At 42.7% G+C, this 20047-nt stretch overlaps 1 protein-coding gene across 9 annotated transcripts in view; it reads right to left on the reverse strand.

The window, feature by feature from the left end:
* The window catches only part of PUS7 (pseudouridine synthase 7), a 65771-nt gene that overhangs the window by 38056 nt on the left and 7668 nt on the right, over positions 1–20047 (reverse strand). For 3 of the 9 annotated variants that reach the window (XM_011516336.4, XM_005250462.5, XM_047420534.1), the window contains exons 2-7: positions 13559–13988; positions 11633–11717; positions 11399–11500; positions 7864–8008; positions 2398–2415; positions 586–697 (exon numbers count right to left, since the gene is read on the reverse strand). In XM_011516336.4, coding sequence (XP_011514638.1) covers positions 586–697; positions 2398–2415; positions 7864–8008; positions 11399–11500; positions 11633–11717; positions 13559–13956 — 860 coding nt within the window. In that variant the 5' untranslated portion in view covers positions 13957–13988. Of the gene's footprint in view, positions 1–585; positions 698–2397; positions 2416–7863; positions 8009–11398; positions 11501–11632; positions 11718–13558; positions 13989–20047 lie in introns of those variants that run through there. The other 6 variants (XM_017012367.3, NM_001318163.1, XM_047420533.1 and 3 more) reach the window with 3 other exon arrangements.

Consider the following 20047-nt stretch of genomic DNA (forward strand, 5'->3'; position numbering starts at 1 on the left):
ATGCCACCATGCCCAGCTAATTTTTGTATTTTTAGTAGAGATTGGGTTTCACCATGTTGGCCAAGATGGTCTCGATCTCTTGACCTCGTGATCTGCCTTCCTCGGCCTCCCAAAGTGCTGGAATTACAGGTGTGAGCCACTGCGCCAGGCCGATCGGCAATTCTTAATCCCAGTACTTTGGGAGGCTGAAGTGTGAGGACTGCTTGAGCACAGGAGTTCGAGACCAGCCTGGGCAATATAGTGAGACTCTGTCTCTAAAACCTAATAAAATTAGCCTGGCATTGTGGCATACGCCTGTAATCCCAGCTACTCAGGAGGCTAAGGTAGGAGGAATGCCTGAGCCCAGGAAGTCAAGGCTGCAGTGAGCCTGATCATACCATCATTCACTCCAGCCTGAGTGACAGAGTGAGACTGTCTAAAAAAAAAAAAAAAAAAAGAAAGAAAGAAAGAAAGAAAACTATCATTGGGAGGAGCATTTACTATCTGTAATCTGTGCTCCTCCTGCTCCTTTTTCCATTAGCATGGAAAAAGGAATATACGTTTCTGTTGCTTTGATTTTGTATAGGCATAACAACAGTAACTCACCTTAAGTATTTGGAGAGTACATTAATAGCATCCATGGTGTCTTTGTTTTCCTTATATAGTACGAAGTGGCAGTAACTTCCCCTAGATTTTGGCCAAGAATGTTTTCTTGGATCTTGAAAGCAAAAGAATTAACATTATATATACCATAATAAAAGTTATAGATGTAAGAGCTCATTTTTCGCTATAGAACCTTTGAGTGGAAAATCAGTTCTAGTCTGATAAAGAAATACAGGTTAAGTGGTTATAGCTGTGTGGACTAGAGGTATTACATTTCCTGTAATTGGACACTTAACATTATCTATCCATATTAAAAATAAAAAGCTAAAATGTGGCTGGGCACGGTGGCTCACACCTGTAATCTCAGGACTTTGGGAGGCCAAGGCGGGCAAGATGGCTTGAGCTCAGGAGTTCAAGACTGGCCTGGGCAACATGGCAAGACCCGTCTCCACTAAAAATAGCCAGGCATGGTGGTACACGCCTGTGGTCCCAACTACTCAGATGGCTGAGGTGGGAGGATCACATGAACATGTAGGGTGGAGGTTGTAGTGAACCGAGATCATGCTACTGCACTCCAGCATGGGTGACAGAGCAAGACCCTGTCTCAAAAAATAAATAAAAGAAAAACATTTTTAATTAAAAAAAAGAACATAAAAAAATTAAGCCAGGTTAAATGTTAACTTCTGAGCAGCTAGTGTTACTTCAGTTGTTCAATCCTGTGTTAAACAATGTAAGATTTAGGCCGAGTGTAATCCCATGCACTGTAATCCCAGCACTTTGGGAGGCTGAGATGGGCGGATCACCTGAGGTCAGGAGTTTGAGACAAGCCTGGCCAACATGGTGAAACCCCGTCTCTACTAAAAATACAAAAATTAGCTGGGCATTGTGGCGAGTGCCTGTAATTCCAGCTACTTGGGAGGCTGAGGCAAGAGAATTGCTTGAACCCAGGAGGTGGAGGTTACCGAGCCAAGATCGTGCCATTGCATTCCAGCCTGGGCAACAAGAGCGAGACTCCGTCTCAAAAAAAAAAAAAAGTATGCATATCTACACACACACACATATATATATATATATATATATATATATATAGAGAGAGAGAGAGAGAGAGAGAGAGAGGGAGAGACACATACATATATATGCTTTAGATTTAAGCTGCTCAAAATGTTTTTTTTTAAGTACTTTGGGAAAAATATGTAAGCCTAAACTGCACTTTATAGACGCTGTACAATAACATTCATGAGTCCTGTGTGGCACAGAGCTGCAGTTGTTACTTAAACAACACATCTAGTTCATTTGATTACTGTAACTCCATGAAAGAAAAACTGAAAAAATGTTTCATACAACAATTCCTAGAAAGAGTCCTCTTCTTTTAAAAATAATCCTTTTTCATGAACTCATGAATCCCTTATCTTCAGAGGCTTAAGATACTGCTGGTACCGAAGCTGGTACTTGGATACCTGGCTTTGTCAAGGCAAAAGCACTGTTTGGTAAGTTAGTGATAAGTTACAATGAAAAGAACAAAAGACTCCATAAACCATTTCAGAAAACTGCCATAGCATGTATGCTTAGTGAATCACCCTTCCTTCTTGATAAATATGTGAGTTTTTTCTGTCTTGGACAGAAAAGTATTACAAGTATTTCTTTAGTCCTTGGTGTGAATTCCTCACAAGTTCTTCAGAAAACTGTTGAGCAGGAATATCATTTTCGGTTTTCCTTCCAGCTCACTATCAGTTAAGCAAAGTTGTCTATACTTAGCACTTGTGACAAAATCTTTGGCATTTCACTTTATCTACATGAAATGCCAAATGCTCTTACCTGCTGCAGTTCTGACCTCTGTCCAAATGCACAGCATAAAGAGCACAAAAGAGCAATGTTTAATTTATAATATTAAAGTGCTTTAGAGGTGAACATGCAAATGATCGCATGGTTAAGTTTACACTGAGGACTTCTACAGCACCCGGTAGTTATGCGGTGGGTTAACAGCCATTTAGACATTAACAATGGAATGTTTTAGAGGCAAACAGTGAACAAGTAGAAAACTCTTCTACAGGTGCAGCCTCCTTGTCTCAATCCCTTCACAATGGGCATGTTAGTTCACGCTCAAAGCTGCACTGTCTGTACCCATGAGATGAAGCAAAAGGTTTAAGGATAGTAAATGCTTCCCCAAAAAGAGATCTGTTTACTTAAATATGGGAGGACATGTACCAAAATGCTATTTGTGATTATCTTTTTTTTGATAGTGAGACAAGTAACTATTGCTTTGCTTTTTCTGCGTTTCATGAATTTCTTGCATTGAATTATAAAGACTTTTAAATTTGAAAAATGTTAAATATTATAGAAAACAGCTAAGTTCTTTATAGATTAAAAAAGATTTAAGAGACGACTTAAGAGGCTTATCAATGAGTGCAATGTTCTGACCTTGTTTTTATCATTCTTTGAACAAGCCATCTGCATATAAAAAAGACATTTTTGAGATACAGCAAAACCAAATATGCAATAGGTATGTGATAGGAAGAAATTATTGTTGATGTTTTTGGATGTGATAATAGTTTGGGGTTTCAGTCCTCATCTGGCAAATAGATACTGAAATATTTATGAGTGAAAAGCCATGCTATGTAGAATTTCCTTTAAAATGCTCCAGCAAGAAAAAAAAGGAGGAAGGATAAATCAATAAAACAACAGAATGTTGATAATCTTAAAGATGGTTTATGGGTACATAGGTTCCATATACTATTTCCTCTATTTGACTGCAAGTTTGAAAATGTCCATAATAAAAACTTTAAAAACACTTGTGATAAAAGTTGATGAAGTGTAGCTACATTTTTCTCAACTACCCCTTTGGAGTATTCATAATTAAGTATAATGACAAGAAATAAATGAAGCCACAAGACTCAAAAACTAAATGCTGCTATACCTTAAGAGAAACCATGACAACAGAGTATGAGTTTTGGCTCACAAGCATGCATCTTCTATTTAGCAAATCCAAGCACTGAGCATGCATACAATTATCTCCTTTGCAAACAACAGATACAAGTATGCATTCTTTTTCTAAGTACACTCAATATACAAAATAGTAAGCATATGCATTGATTAACTGGGAATATTTTAAATAACAGAAAATCAATGAGTCTCCATTTATTTTGGGCAATTTGTGTGACTTTATAAAACTCCACCCCCTAAGAATGCTAAGCAGCATATACTTAGCTTTACAATTTGAATGAATTTAAAATAACTTGCAGACATTTTTGAGACACTGATTTATACTGCAAATGCACAGAATTCCCAGGCTGGGTAATATGGTTCCTATTTGAAGAAGGCTGCATCCAGCTTCTGAGGGCCTAACAAGGCAGTCCCAGTCTAGCAGAAATGGAAACCAGATAAAAGGGAAACCAAGTTCAGGAAGTTTGATTTATTGAGCACAGACATCTCCATGAATAAAGAAGGAAAAATGTTTCTAGCTGAGAAAGATGAAAAGATGGGGTAGCATGCGGAACATTCCTTCCTTCTTATTCAAGGTCATTCCCACCATCACACCCCTGCACACCAACCTTCAGCTTTTTCAGGGATCCTACTCCATCCATTATCTTTATTTTGTTATTTGCCTCCCTGAATTTTCACCTTCTCTCTCCATTGTCTCTTTCCTTTTTGAAAATATATATTTTTCTTTTTATAGAGATGAGGTTTTGCCATGTTGGCCAGGCAGGTCTGGAACTCCAGGCCTCAAGTGATCTGCCCGCCTCGGCCTCTCAAAGTGCTGGGATTACAGGCGTGAGCCACTGCGCCTGGCCCTCCATTGTCTCCCTTGCATATATAAATAACTCACAGCTCTTCCATCTTAAAAGCCTAACCTATGTTCCCCTCTCCTTAATTATGTTCGCTTCTTCTCCTCTTTGCAGGTTATTTGAAAAAGCAGTCTGTATATACTACCTTCCATCTCAACCTACTATGTAAACTGGTTTCCAACCTCATCATTCCACTAGAATGCTCCGGTGAAAAGACACCAACAACTTCCATGTTGCTAAACTGATAGACAGGTTTCAGAGTAATTATCTTGCTGGACCTATCTGTAGCATTTTCCATTGCCACAGGAATGGAAGCAATGGTAGTCCATTGATCACTCTGATTATTGGGATTCCCTATTCCTGTGGATTCTATAACACCAGTCTTTCCCAGAGAGCTTCTTTGTACCTGTCTAGCTCTTCCTCCTGAGTCTCTATGGATTCCTACATACAGGGATCCCTCCTGGGGACCATTCATTTCAGAAAGTATAGAGAACCTGTACCTATCACATGGCAGAATTTTCTTTTTTTTACATAAGTCTTTAAAAACTATGTTCTTAGAAGCATTTGGAATGTATACTGTCTCAAAATATAAATTAATTTATCAGTAATGTTATGATAGTTTAGATGGTATTTTAAAAAAAAATCACATATACATTTTGGTAGGTAAAGCAATGTGCCCTATCAGACTGGCTTAACACATAAAATAATGTCTGAGTTTAAATAGTTGGTAATTTGTGGTGTTTGGGAACAATGATTTAGAATCCACCACATCTATGTTTTAGGATGCACAGTTCTATCTGAGAAAAGTTCAGGTTAAGAATATTGTGAATCTGCTAGATAATGCATAATAACAATTTCTATCAGGATCTGGTAGTAATACAGCTAAAAAAAAACTGTAAATTACAAAGCTTTGTAATGATACTTTAAAAGCTAAATCATTCAAATGCTAGGCAAGATGGCTCAGGAGGACAAGCTGTCGCTGGTAGAGGGCCATGAACAATAATCTTTGGATACCAGCTCTTCCTCCTTTCCTAGGGGTGTTCACTTTAGGCCACTCTCAGCTTGGGGAGAGTGGGGTCTATAAAAATGAATGCAGGCTCCTAAGTGCCCATCTGTGCCAGGGGTGGCCTTCCATGAGGAGGTGGGAGAGATGGCAGAGATTTAGTCCATCTTTGAAGAAATGTCACAACACCACAAGCCCAAGAAGTGTGGTTCTCTATACAAGAGGGAGTTGATCCAATCTGACTTCCTTCTTGCTTCTTTTTAAAGTGAGAAATTCCTTTCTTACTGAAGGTGTCCAAACGAAAATGGGGAAGGGTGGTTCACATCGCACAGCTCAGTACTTCACTTGTAAAATCTTAAGGAAACTTCGTAACAACAACAACAAAAAAAAGAAAGGCGGGTGTCGCATAAGCAGAGAAAATGTGGATAAAAACACAACATGAGAGACCTGGCGCTGTGTTTAATGAAGGGGATGGGTAGAAAGGCTGTAATGGCTGCTTTGGCCTGCAAATGCCCTCCACCCTCTCACAAAACCCGGCATCCTAAGAAATGATTATCACTTCCAAGAAGCCACCAGTCAAAAAAACAGTTTTTGCTTTTTCCAACCTGCTTCCTCATGACCACACCAAGCAGAGTAAGACCTTGCCTTGTCTTCCCGCCTTCATAATGGGCAGCACTGCTGACCAACATGGGCTGTTTCTTGACAAAAAATAACTCCCTAGCAGCCTTCCCAACTGGGTTCCCTGAGAGAATTAGGACCAAGTGCCCCAAGGCATGGCTGTTTGTAGAAGTCACCTCTCCTCTCCATCTACAGTAGTTACTAGCTACACACTATCCTTGGGAGAACTGAACCAACAGTGGCTCCAATCACTTTCCACTGGGCTTACTCCTCTTTGAGCAACCTTGGCTGAAAAAAGGCTGCTCAGGTGACATTTTATACCATGACCCAGACATTAAAGAAACACACAGCAACCACACCATTCGTTTGTGGAGTAAAAAGTAATTCAGGACTCATGCCCCAAGCAGTTCCAGGACACATCATCTGGCTTTTCTTTACAGTGTTCACTGAAAACTGGCCTCTGATCTCCACCTCTTCCTCTGGAACTGCTCAGGTATCTCATCTCTATAGCACTATCCAGACTTGCTGCCTTGACTAGATTATTTCCTCAGGCACAGCGAAGCTTTCCTCCTGTTCTCTTTTTTGTTATACCCTCTCATTTCACTAGAAACATGGTTATAAGCAATTAAGGCTTCATCCATCACAGTATTATCTTTTGAATTAACCTAAAAGAATACTGACAGAGCCCTAATAAATAAACAGTTTTTTGTTATATGGTCTTAGAATTTTGCCCCAAATATATCTAGGAATAAATGTTCATTAATACAGGCCACCGCTAGTAGGAGAGGAGGGTGAGGAAATAACTTTTTCTTGTTGTAATTTTCATTTAAATTTTATCTGTCAATTTGGTAGGTGAAAAAAAAAATTACCTAATTTTCCTGAAAGGTTATATGCAAATAGAAACTTTTGTGGCTGTAGATAACACATTAGAACATAAATATCAGTGACTCACTGGGACTATGCCCATTTCAAATGAATGATACACAACAAAAGATGGGCTGAGATAAAAGGGTGTCTTTCTATATATTCCATATTTTTTATGTGTGACTGAAGAAGATACAGTTGGAAAGCAAAAGCTCTTTCAATATAGGGGCCTGGCAAAAAAATATGCCTCTTTCAATACAGGGGTCTTGGCCGGGCGCACTGGCTCACACCTGTAATCCTAGCACTTTGGGAGGCCGAGACGGGTGGATCACGAGGTCAGGAGATCAAGACCATCCTGGCTAACAAGGTGAAACCCCGTCTCTACTAAAAATACAAACAATTAGCCAGGCGTGGTGGCAGGTGCCTGGAGTCTCAGGTACTCAGGAGGCTGAGGCAGAAGAATGGCATGAACCCAGGAGGCGGAGCTTGCAGTGAGCCGAGATCGTGCCACTGCACTCCAGCCTGGGCGACAGGGCGAGACTCCGTCTCAAAAAAAAAAAAAAAATATATATATATATATATATATAGGGGCCTTGCAAAAAATGTGCCACTGGGATAGGTGACAAGCGTTTTTTGTTCATCTGAAAGCTTTCTTTCCTCCATGAAGAACACAGAATGAGCAATAATCCTTCTATTTTCTTCTTGAATTGCCACTCAGTATGCTCTGCTCTTCAGGGAACATATCAAATCCCTAAGACTCTCTCTCAGGCACTACTATAATTTCAGCAAATCTTTACTCACATAAAAGACCTAATGCCCCTTGCCAGGCAGGCTGCAGGACTGCGCTGGCATCTGAAGTGACAATACTCACCCTCTCTGAAGGAGGGACATGATCAATATTGTTCTCTGAGCAGCACTATAGTAGCCCTTGAACACGAACGGGCAAGGCTAACGAGGAGCGGGGCCTGCCGCTCACGGCTGCCTGGCAGGAGGAAGCTGCTCACAGACACCTACTTGCCAAAGCCTTTTTCCCAGCTGCGTGGTAGGCTACAATGTATTTCTTCCCCTCCCTATCCTCTGTTTTTGTCTCTAATCCTGGAAACAGAGATTTGATAGCCTGATGGATGATGGTTCTTTTCTCTTTGGTGTCCTCGATAACCTATTAAAAAAAACAGATAGCAATACCACCAAGTTAACAAACATTAAATAGGGAAGTAATACAGTGAATTAGTAAAAACACTGCTCACCTTATTAACTACGCAAAATAACAAAAGTGCCTGCATACGATTTCAAAAATCTTTTATTTTTATTTTTTTGACAGTCTCGCTCTGTCGCTCAAGCTGGAGTGCAGTGGAGTGATCTCAGCTCACTGCAACCTCTGCCTCCCGGGTTCAAGGGATTCTTCTGCCTCAGCCTCCTGAGTAGCTGGGATTACAGGCTCACAACACCAAGCCTGGCTAGTTTTTGTATTTTTAGTAGAGATGGGGTTTCACCATGTTGGCCAGGCTGGTCTCAAACTCCTGGCCTCAAGTGATCCATCTGCCTTGGCCTTCCAAAGTGCTGAGATTACAGGCGTGAGCCACCGTGCCCAGTCTCAAAAATATTTCAGAGCTTCCCAATATTGCAAATCCCGGGAGCCTGTTGATGGAGCACATCCATCTGCCAGACACTGTACAAAGCACTGTGGTCATCATTTTATTTAATCTTTGTAATCTCTCCATCATAACACCATTATATCTATTTAGAAGTGAGGAATTGTGTCTGCGGTTATATAGCTGGAAGGTGGTAGAGCTGGATTTAAAATCCAGGCTGTCAAACCCATGGGCCACCAACCCAGATGCACCTTCTCAGGGTCTCTGCTGGACAGACACCTTAGGGATCCTACATGAAAATGCAGGCAAAGCTAGGCCTTTTGGTATGTGAGAAGCTCAGTCCTTTGAACAATCCAACCTACAGCTGCTTCTTATTGAATTATATTCTGAATTATTTTATAATGAGGTTCTAGCACATGGGTTTACAGTAAAGAAAAATCAACATGATATAAACTCACTAGTTACATGATATTTTCAGCGTGTGAGTGCATCTCATACTGAGAATTTTCCCTCCCTCTTTACTCAATACAACCACAAATGTGTGTGTATATACCTCATTTTAAGAATCGAAAAAAAATTCACAAAACAAGATTCATACTATTTGCAATGCACAAGTATTTTCTATGTTATTGCTATTATTATATATATTTTTTGAGATAGGGTCTGGCTCTGTCACCCAGGCTGGAGTGCAGTGATGCGACCTTGGCTCACTGCAACCTCTGCCTCCCAGGCTCAAGCCATCCTCCTATCTCAGCCTCTCAAGAAGCTGGGACTACAGGCATGTGCCTCCATGCCCAGCTAATTTTTTTATGTTTTGTAGAGATGGCGTTTCGCCATGTTGCCCAGGCTGGTCTCGATCTCCTGAATTCAAGCGATCTGCCCACCTCAGCTTCCCAAAGTACTGGAATTCCATGCCTGAGCCACTGTGCCCAGCCCTTATTTTATTCCATTTTTTAAAAATGCTGGTTGAGATCCACTACTAAACTGATTTCATGACCCATTAATGGGTTGTAACCTGCAAGCTGAAAACATCGAGATACACTGCAACTGCTACTGGCTAAACTTGATGACACTTTTTTTTTTTTTTTTGAGACACAGTTTCACTCTTGTTGCCCAGGCTGGAGTGCAATGGCACGATCTCGGCTCACTGCAACCTCCACCTCCCAGGTTCAAGTGATTCTCCCGCCTCAGCCTCCTGAGTAGCTGGGATTACAGGTGCCCGCCACCACGCCCAGCTAATTTTTCGTATTTTTAGTAGAGATGGGGTTTCTCCATGTTGGTCAGGCTGGTCTCGAACTCCTGACCTTAGGTGATCCACCCACCTCGGCCTCCCAAAGTGCTGGGATTACAGGTGTGAGCCACTGCGCCCAGCAACTTAATGATACTTCAACAAAATAAAAAATGAAAAAAATCCACCAAACTACATTACGATTACAGGTAAATGACTTCTTCATAGCAAAAAGTGAGTCTAGATCTGAAATTACTGATAGCAAGGAGAACGACAGTTTGTGTATATGAATACATGTTTAGACCTCAAAAACTCAGAAAGTCCATCTTCATTTTACAAATGAGGAAGCTTGCCCATAGTTTATGCCTTTTAAATGTACAGACTTTCAGTAGATAGGAAAACCTCAGTTTTTAAGACAATAGTAAATTTTACCACATGTATACGAAAATACATATTATAAGCCTAAGATAAACCTCTGCATTGTACAAGCAAAGGAAACTTGGACCATCCTTCTGGATTGCTCTAGAAATCTGCCAGGAATTTTCCTCTTGGCATTGCTAAAGGTTTTGTCTAAAGATTTTTTCAGTAATGGAAGATTTCTAACATTGCAATACCACACGCTTTTGGGAAGCTCAGGTAAGGAGGGAGACAAGGAGCAGATAATGAATTCTGAAAAGTTGTAGTACGCTTATTAACTAGGAGTGCTGGGAGGGGGAATTTCAGACAACCGAAAACCCCATAGCTCATTAAAATGTAGTACAAAATTAATTTAACATAATTTTTTTTTTTTTTTGATATGGAGTCTCGCTCTGCCGCCCAGGCTGGAGTGCAGTGGTATGATCTCTGCTCGCTGCAACCTCTGTCTCCTAGGTTCAAGAGATTCTCTTGCCTCAGCCTCCCAAGTAGCTGGGACTACAGGCCTGCGCTACCACGCTTGGCTAATTTTTTTGTATTTTTAGTAGAGACGGGATTTCGCCATGTTGGCCAGGCTGGTCTTGAACTCCTGACCTCAAGTGATCCGCCCACCTTGGCCTCCCAAAGTGCTGGGATTACAGGTGTGAGCCACCGTGCCCGGCGAACAAAAGCTTTAACAACAAAATTTACTATTCTACTTAGTAGCTGAGCTCTCCTTTTCTTCAATAGCAGAATTGACCCACGATGAGCAAATAAATGCTCCCCTACTTCCTTTCCCCATTTCCTCCCCTTCCCAGAGTCCCAACTGAGGCCAAGAAGCTGCTGAAGCCAGAATCTGACCTGGGTCACATACCTGACAGACAGCAAATGGTGGTCCTGTTACAACGGACATTGTGGTATAATTGGTACTCTGGGATTCTAAACAACATATGTCGCTGTTCATTTGTGGTCCCTAAATTTTTTTTTCAGAGATGATGTCTCACTATGTTGTCCAGGCTAGTCTCCAATTCCTGGGCTCAAGTAAACCTCTGGCTTCAGCCTTCGGAGTAGCTAGGACTTTGGAATAGCATGTAACACTGTACCCAAATAAAAATGTTTTTAAACAAAAATGTAACTTTGGGGGGGGCTATAGTTTATCTGGGATACTAGTTATCTGCCCCAGTAAAAAAATTTTTTAGTGTAATATCCTTTAGATCCAATAGAGCAAAAAGTCACCCTTTGTTAACCATTGTAATTTTTTCCATAAACACTTAACATCCACCCAAAAAGCAACTAAAACCCTAAATAATTTTTCATATATTTTTGCATTAGTTACCTCAATGGCAACACTGGTTTCCTTATTTTTGAACAGCTGGAGCTCTTCCAATCGCTGCTTTTCTTCAGCTGTCAAAACTGTAAATATGTCTTCTGAAGGGTCCTTTAAAATAACCATGAGAACTCACAATGAATCATACATAGAATTCAAGTTTAATAAAGCTCTATATTTCTAAATCTCTAGGAAATGCTATTTTTATACAGAAGGTGACATTTGCTAAAGAGCTACTTCTACCTCCTCATCCACTGGAATGGACAAGTCATTCAAATGGCTGATCCGTCCATCTTTTCCTATTTCATGAACAACGAAGTCGGAGTATCTGATGAAAGAAAACATGAACTTTCAGATAATTAACATCCTGTTTTCTATTAATTTTAAGATAAAGTTGATCAACAGCAAGCCTTACTATTATGCAAAACAAGGAATTTTAAAAAATCTTCAGTGCAAAATCACATGGAGTTAATTTTTTTTTTCTTTTTTTTTTTTGAGATGGAGCCTTGCTCTGTTGCCTAGGCTGGAGTGCAGTGGCTCGATCTCCACTCACTGCAACCTCCGCCTCCTGGGTCCAAGTGATTCTCCCGCCTCAGCCTCCCGAGTAGCTGGGATTACAGGCACGTGCCACCACGCCCAGCTAATTTTTGTATTTTTAGTAGAGACGGGGTTGCACCATTTTGGCCAGGCTGATCTTGAACTCCTGACCTCAAGTGATCTGCCCATCTTGGCCTCCCAAAGTGCTGGGATTACAGGCGTGAATCACCACATCCGGTCTTTTCTGGTTTCTTAATGAATGCTGAGCCATACCTTGGCTCAAGTTTTATATGAGAACTTAAAGAAAAGACCCTCTTAGCTTCTAGAATATTCTTCCAGAGAAATGCAAAAACAAAAGCTTATTAACATTACCCTATGACGATTCAGGCAGCCCACACTAAATTAAATCACAAAATATGCTATATGGTTAATTGAATCAGAACCCAGTAAGTCTACCATGAACTAGCCTGAAGCTTACCTTTATGTTAAATATTTTACATGCATTATTCAAAATCCTCAACAACCCCAATGTGGTAATATGATCCATTTAAAAATTTTATTTTATTACTATTATTTTTTTTGAGACAGAGTCTTGCTCTGTTGCCCAGGCTGGAGTGCAGTGGCTTGATCTTGGCTCACTGCAACCTCCGCCTCCTGGGTTCAAGTGATTCTCCTGCCTCAGCCTACCGAGTAGCTGGGATTACAGGCGCGTGCCACTACGCCAGGCTAATTTTTGTATTATTAGTAGAGACAGGGTTTCGCCATGTTGCCCAGGCTGGTCTCAAACTCCTGACCTCAAGTGATCTGCCCGCCTTGGCCTCCCAAAGTGCTGGGATCACAGGCGTTAGCCACCGTGTCTGGCCTGATCCATTTTTTAAATAAGGATGCTGAGGTTCAGAGAGGCTAAGTAACTACTAAGTAGCGAACTTCACACTGGGATCCACCTGGCTCCAAAGACTACCTTCTTCTAACATAGTTGTGGCACATTCAAATGAAAAAAGAGTTTAAGATTATAAAACAAACTCAGGAGAAAATCTGAAACCATTTAAATGAATTTATTCATTTACTTATTTTTTTGAGACAGAGTCTTGCTCTGTCACCCAGGCTGGAATGCAGTGGTGCAATCTCGGCTCACTGCAACCTCCACCTCCCAGGTTCAAGCTATTCTCCTGCCTCAGCCTCCCGAGTAGCTGGGATTACAGGTGCCCATCACCACGCCCAGCTAATTTTTGTATTTTTAGTATAGATGTGCTTTCACCATGTTGGCCAGGCTGGTCTCAAACTCCTGACCTCAAGTGATCCGCCAGCCTCGGCCTCCCAAAGTGCTGGGATAACAGGCGTAAGCCACTGTGCCTGGTGAATGAATTTATTTGAGGCATGATCATGCCACTGCATGCCAGCCTGGGTGACAGAGTGAGACCCTCTCTCAAAAAAAGGGAAAAAATTAATTAATTAAAATTTAAAAATCCAAGGCTATTTATTCAGGCAGGTTTCCTTCATCCTATTCCTTTTGATCAGTAGTATAAACAAGCCTTGGAGATGGAAAGCTAAGTGGAAGAATATAAAGCTAATTTCTTTCTAAAGAAGAAACCTAATACAATCAAAATAACTTTATTCATAAACTAAATGTACCTTTCTTTTAAGATTCCCGAGAACCCTTGATGAGAACTCACAAACTTGGTGATGCCTACGTCAGCCTCAGTGAGTCCATGCTTCATCATGTCTGCAAAACTCTCTGATTCCTCCTCCTCGCACTCCTCTGAAAGTCCATCTTCCTCCTCTTCTTCCTCATCTTCCAACTGAGCCTCAGAATTCTTTCCACCTTTCCCAGTACTGACAGTGTCAGGAGGCCGAGGCACGTCTTCACTGATGGACAGAAAGTCATTCTGTAGCCCATCTTGACCTTTGGTTAGACTGCATTCCGACAGCTTCTGTTTTTTTGTCTCTTCAACTGGGACTCCACTGTCATTATCTTCGACAACCAGTGCCCCACGTTTCAGCGACACACCAGTCATTTCTGTCATCTCCATCTTTAAGGCTCCAAGAAAACATTTAAGAAAACCTGTTAGGAAAGAGTAGAAAGTAACAATCACCTATATAAAAGCTGGTTTCAGGCCGGGCGCGGTGGCTCACACCTGTAATCCCAGCGTTTTGAGGGAGGTTAAGGCAGGCAGATCACTTGAGGTCAGGAGTTCAAGACCAGCCTGGCCAACATGGTGAAACCTCATCTCTACTAAATATTAGTTAGGCGTGGGTGGCAGGCGCCTATAGTCCCAGCTCTTGGGAGGCTGAGGCAGGGGCATTGCTTGAACCCGGGAGGCAGAGGTTGCAGTGAGTTAAGATAGTGCCACTGCACTCCAGCCTGGGCGACAGAGTGAGACATTGTCTTAAAAAAAAAAAAAAAAAAAAAAAAAAAGGTCAGGCACGGTGGCTCACACCTGTAATCCCAGCACTTTGGGAGGCCGAGGTGGGCGGATCACAAGGTCAGGGGTTCGAGATCAGCCTGGCCAACATGGTGAAACCCCATCTCTACTAAAAATACAAAAAAAAAACTAGCTGGGCGTGGTGGTAGGCGCCTGTAATCCCAGCTAGTCAGGAGGCTGAGGCAGGAGAATCGCTTGAACCTGGGAGGCGGAGTTTGCAGTGAGCAGAGATCGAGCCACTGCACTCCAGCCTGGGGGACCAGAGCAAGACTCCATCTCAAAAAAAAAAAAAAAAAAAAAAAAAAAGGAAAGAAGTTGGTTTCAGCAGATAAAGGCATAGTTAATGTTGTTCATACGATCCTAAAAATCATTTATAGAAATAATTCTTCCAGATGTTGGCATACACTTTTTGTGGGACAGAAAACCGGCATAATACTTCCGCACATCATCACAAGCCTTAAAAATATGTATGCTCTTTGACCCAGTAATACTACTTTTAGGGATTTATCTTAAGAAAATAATTAAGAAATAATAAAGTTTTAGCTCTAAGGATATTCATCTCCATACTTTTTTCTTTTTTTCAGTGACAAGGTCTGGCTCTTTCACCCAGTCTGGTGTGCAGTGGCATGATCACAGCTCACTGCAAACTCCAACTCCTGGGCTCAAGCAATCCTCCTGCCTCAGCCTCCCCAGCAGCTGGGACTACAGCAGCATGCCACCAAGCCTGGCTAGTTTTTTTATTTTTATTTTTCTGTAAAGACTAGGTCTCGCTATTATTGCTCAGTCTGGTCTTGAACTCCTGGGCTCAAGTAATGCTCTCACTTTGGCTTCCCAAAGTGTTGGGAATATAGGTGTGAGCCACCCTGCCTGGCCACAGTGCTTTTATATTAGCAAAACATTAACAGCAATGAAACTTGGGTACATAAACTGAACAATATGTAGCAACATTGACAAGAAACTGGGAAGGGTGGTTACCTCTAGGAGAGGGTCTAGAAGTGGTGGCTGGGGACAGAGGTGGGAAATTTGCTGTTCTCACTCAATAACATGGTTGTAATCATTTGAAGCTTGTTTGATGTATATGTATTATCCTTTCAAAAAACTGATTAATATTGTGGCCGGGATCGGTGGCTCACACCTGTAATCCCAATACTTTGGGAGGCTGAGGCAGGCAGATCACCTGAGGTCGGGAGTTTGAGACCAGCCCGATCAACAAGGAGAAATTCCGTCTCTACTGAAAATACAAAATTAGCAGGGCATGGTGGCACATGCCTGTAATCCCAGCTACTCGGGAGACTGAGGAAGGAGAATCACTTGAAACCAGGAGGTGGAGGTTGTGGTGAGCTGAAATTGTGCCTTTGCACTCCAGCCTGGGCAACAAGAGCAAAACTCTATCTCCAAAAAAAAAATAAATAAATAAAATAAAATATTGTATAACCACGCTTACTGACATGAAAGCCATACCTATGTCATACCACATTAAAAAAAAGGAATGGGGAGGTGTCATACAGGTGGTATATAGTTCTGCAAGATGAAAAGTTCTGGATAGTGATTGCCTAACAATGTGAATACACTTAACTCTACTGAACTGTACACGTGGTTAAAATGGCAAATTTTAATTTTTTTTTTGAGACAGGGTCTCACTCTGTTGCCCAGGCTTGAGAGCAGTGGCACGATCTAGGCTCACTGCAACCTCCACCTCCTGGGCTCAAGCCATCCTCCTACCTCAGCCTCCCGGGTGGCTGGGATCACAGGCGTGTACCACCACGCCTGGCTAATTTTTGTAATTTTTGGTAGAGACAGGGGTTCACCATGTTGGCCAGGCTGCTCTCGAACTCCTGACCTCAAGTGATCTTCCCACACTGGGCTCCCAAAGTGCTGGGATTTCAGGCATGAGCCACCGTGTCTGGTCTAATTTGATGCTCTTGGTAAAATAAGGATAAAAACTTTTTCTATGTTAATTACATACAAGATGCTGAAGGTAACATACTGATGAATGTAGTAAACATATCCATAAATAAAGCAAATGAAAAGAAAATGAATATGCTAGTTCTCCAAGGCATGGTTAACAAGAAAGCCACCTATATAAGCATCTACAGCAAAATAATAATGATGATTAACTAAATGTTATTTATTTATTTATTTTTGAGACGGAGTCTCGCTCTGTCGCCCAGGCTGGAGTGCAGTGGCACGATCTTGGCTTACTGCAAGCTCCGCCTCCCAGGTTCACACCATTCTCCTGCCTCAGCCTCCCAAGTAGCTGGGATTACAGGCACGCCCGCCACTATGCCCAGCTTATTTTTTGTATTTTTAGTAGAGACGGGGCTTCACCATGTTGGCCAGGCTAGTCTCAAACTCCTGACCTCATGATTTGCCCGCCTCGGCCTCCCAAAGTGCTGAGATTACAGGCGTGAGCCACCGCACCTGGCCCCATTCCCGTTTAAACATCTGTATTCCCTGCCATAACATCTTTTGCCACCTATAGCTACTTGAAGTATGGTCTTGGAGCCTGTTGTACATTTAAGAATAAATTTTCATTTAAAAAAAAAAAAAAAAAGTGGTTGGGTACTGTGGCTCAGGCCAGGCGCATGGCTCATGCCTGAAATCTCAGCACTTTGGGAGGCTGAGGTGGGTGGATCACCTGAGGTCAGAAGTTCGAGACCAGCCTGGCCAACATGGTGAAACCCCTCTCTAGTAAAAATACAAAGATTAGCTGGGTGTGAGGGCACACACCTGTAATCTCAGCTGCTTGAGAGGCTGAGGCAGGAGAATCGTTTGAACCCAGGAGGTAGAGGTTGCACTGAGTCAAGATGACGCCACTGCGCTCCAGCCTAGGCAACAGAGCGAGTCTCCATCTCAAACAAAACAAAACGAACAAAACAAAACAAAAAAGTATTATGACAGCTACAAAAAATAGGAGAGAAGGGATTGAAAAAAATGTCAGTTAAAACAATTTCTGGCGGCCTGGTGCAGTGGCTCACGCCTGTAATCCCAACACTTTGGGAGGCTGAGGCGGGTGGATCACAAGGTCAGGAGTTCGAGACCAGCCTGACCAACATGGTAAAACCCCATCTCTACTAAAAATACAAAAAATTATCCAGGCATGGTGGCGGGCGCCTGTAATCCCAGCTACTCAGAAGGCTGAGGTAGGAGAATCGCTTGAACCTGGGAGGCGGACGTTGCAGTGAGTCGGGACTGCACCACTGCACTCCAGCCTGGGTGACAGAGAGAGATTCTGTCTCAAAAAAAAAAAAAAAAAAAAAAAAAAAAATCCTTTGAAAGACAAGAAATTAAATACAGAAAATGGAAGAAACTGAAACTGGAATAGAAGTAGACCACAACTGTAGTTACATAAAAGTATCCCTAATTCAAAGAAAAAAGCATTTACTCTTTGTCCTGAACAGGTGTAGTCAAAAAAAGAACGCTGGTTTATGAAATGCTGACACGATTTCACTCTCACCTTACAGCAACAAAACTACCCTCAGAGGTTTTGTACAAATGAAGGAGACAAAAATGGACCAGGGCTTACACAAGGACCGGGAGAACACACTGAAGACAAAACCTAACCAAAGACTACAATGCCTGGGCCAAATTTTGTGGCATAAGGAAGAGGAAGGAAAAGCAGGAGAAGGTCATTTGGGGTCACAGGTACAGCATGTGCAAAGGCATGGGGGCGTGGGAGCTCACAGAGTGCTGGAAGAGCAAAAGAACTCATCGCCCACTGTGGGGGTTAGACATACAAGGAGAGTCTGGGGTTACAGCTTGGGAGGGGCGGAGGCCACATGAGGCTACAAGGAGGGAGTCACAACCTGAAAACCAGACCAGCACTGAATTTGTAATTCAGAAAGATTCTGTGGCACCCCTTTGAAGAGAAACTGGGGTTAGGCTGGAAGACCAGGTAAGAGGGTACAGCTGTAATCTAGGCAAGAAATTAATATAATCTGATCTAAGGCTGAAGCAAGGGAGACAGAAAAAGGCGACTTTCAAGAACATTTAGGAAGTAGTAGCAGGGACAGGAGAAGGTGACAAATGTGGGAGGAAAGGGGAAATACTTCAGGATGACTCAAGTTTCCATCCCTGGGGAACTGAGAGGACAGTGGTGGTCCTCCTGATATGAGGGTCCCAGAAAGAAGAGCAGGTGTTGGAAGAAGATGAGCCCACCCATAGTCCTGTGGTGTTGCAGGTTCCTGGGGAGACATCCCAGTGGAGACGATCTGCGGGCACTCATCACATTGTGTCACACATGCCCTTACCAAAAACCTGCAATGCCTCCCCAATGACCATACAAGCTTCCCAGCTGGCATCACAGCTCTACCAGGAGATCCTGATGCCCTTCCAGAGGCCAGAACTCTCAGTAAGGAAGAAAGAGTGGCCAATAACGGCCATTCACACAGCTTGGCACAGGGACTTCACAGTCAGCAAAATATTCACCTCCTCTCCTTATGCAGAAAAAACATCAGGCCTCCCCCTCTCAACAATCTTGGAGACAGATCTAGGTTTTGCCATTTACTAAGTGGGTGACTTAACCTCTCGAATCTGTTTCTTTCTCTGTAAAAGTAAAATATGATGACTTGGCCAAAGGTCTGTAATAGCTCCTCTTATTCAACTGTTAGTCCTTAATAGTTATTATTGATGGGCTGGGCGCGGTGGCTCACGCCTGTAATCCCAGCACTTTGGGAGGCCAAGGCAGGTGGATCGCCAAGGCAGGCCGGATCACGAAGTCAGGAGATCGAGACCAACCTGGCTAACATGGTGAAACCCCGTCTCTACTAAAAAATACAAAAAATTAGCCGGGTGTGGTGGCAGGTGCCTGTAGTCCCAGCTACTCGGGAGGCTGAGGCAGGAGAATGGCGTGAACCCAGGAGGCGGAGCTTGCGGTGAGCCGAGATTGTGCCACTGCACTCCAGCCTGGGTGACAGAGCAAGACTCCGTCTCAAAAAAAAAAAAAAAATAGTTATTATGGATGATTTACATAGCTGAACTGTATTGTTGTTATGTCTGGAGGAGTTTAAAAAAAGAAAAAAAGCTGGCTGGGCGCGGTGGCTCACGCCTGTAATCCCAGCACTTTGGGAGGCCAAGGCAGGTGGATCGCCAAGGCAGGCCGGATCACGAAGTCAGGAGATCGAAACCAACCTGGCTAACATGGTGAAACCCCGTCTCTACTAAAAAATACAAAAAATTAGCCGGGTGTGGTGGCAGGTGCCTGTAGTCCCAGCTACTCGGGAGGCTGAGGCAGGAGAATGGCGTGAACCCAGGAGGCGGAGCTTGCGGTGAGCCGAGATTGTGCCACTGCACTCCAGCCTGGGTGACAGAGCAAGACTCCGTCTCAAAAAAAAAAAAAAATAGTTATTATGGATGATTTACATAGCTGAACTGTATTGTTGTTATGTCTGGAGGAGTTTAAAAAAAGAAAAAAAGCTGGCTGGGCACAGTGGCTCATGCCTGTAATCCCAGCACTTTGGGAGGCCAAGGCAGGTGGATCACAAGGTCAAGAGACCGAGACCATCCTGTCCAACACAGTGAAACCCCATCTCTACTAAAAATACAAACAATTAGCTGGGCGTGGTGACGGGCGCCTGTAGTCCCAGCTACTCAGGAGGCTGAGGCAGGAGAATGGCGTGAACCCGGGAGGCCGAGCTTGCAGTGAGCCGAGATCGCGCCACTGTACTCCAGCCTGGGTGACAGAGCGAGACTCCATCTC

This window comes from Homo sapiens, chromosome 7 (genome assembly GCF_000001405.40).
Source record: "Homo sapiens chromosome 7, GRCh38.p14 Primary Assembly".
NCBI lineage: Eukaryota > Metazoa > Chordata > Mammalia > Primates > Hominidae > Homo > Homo sapiens.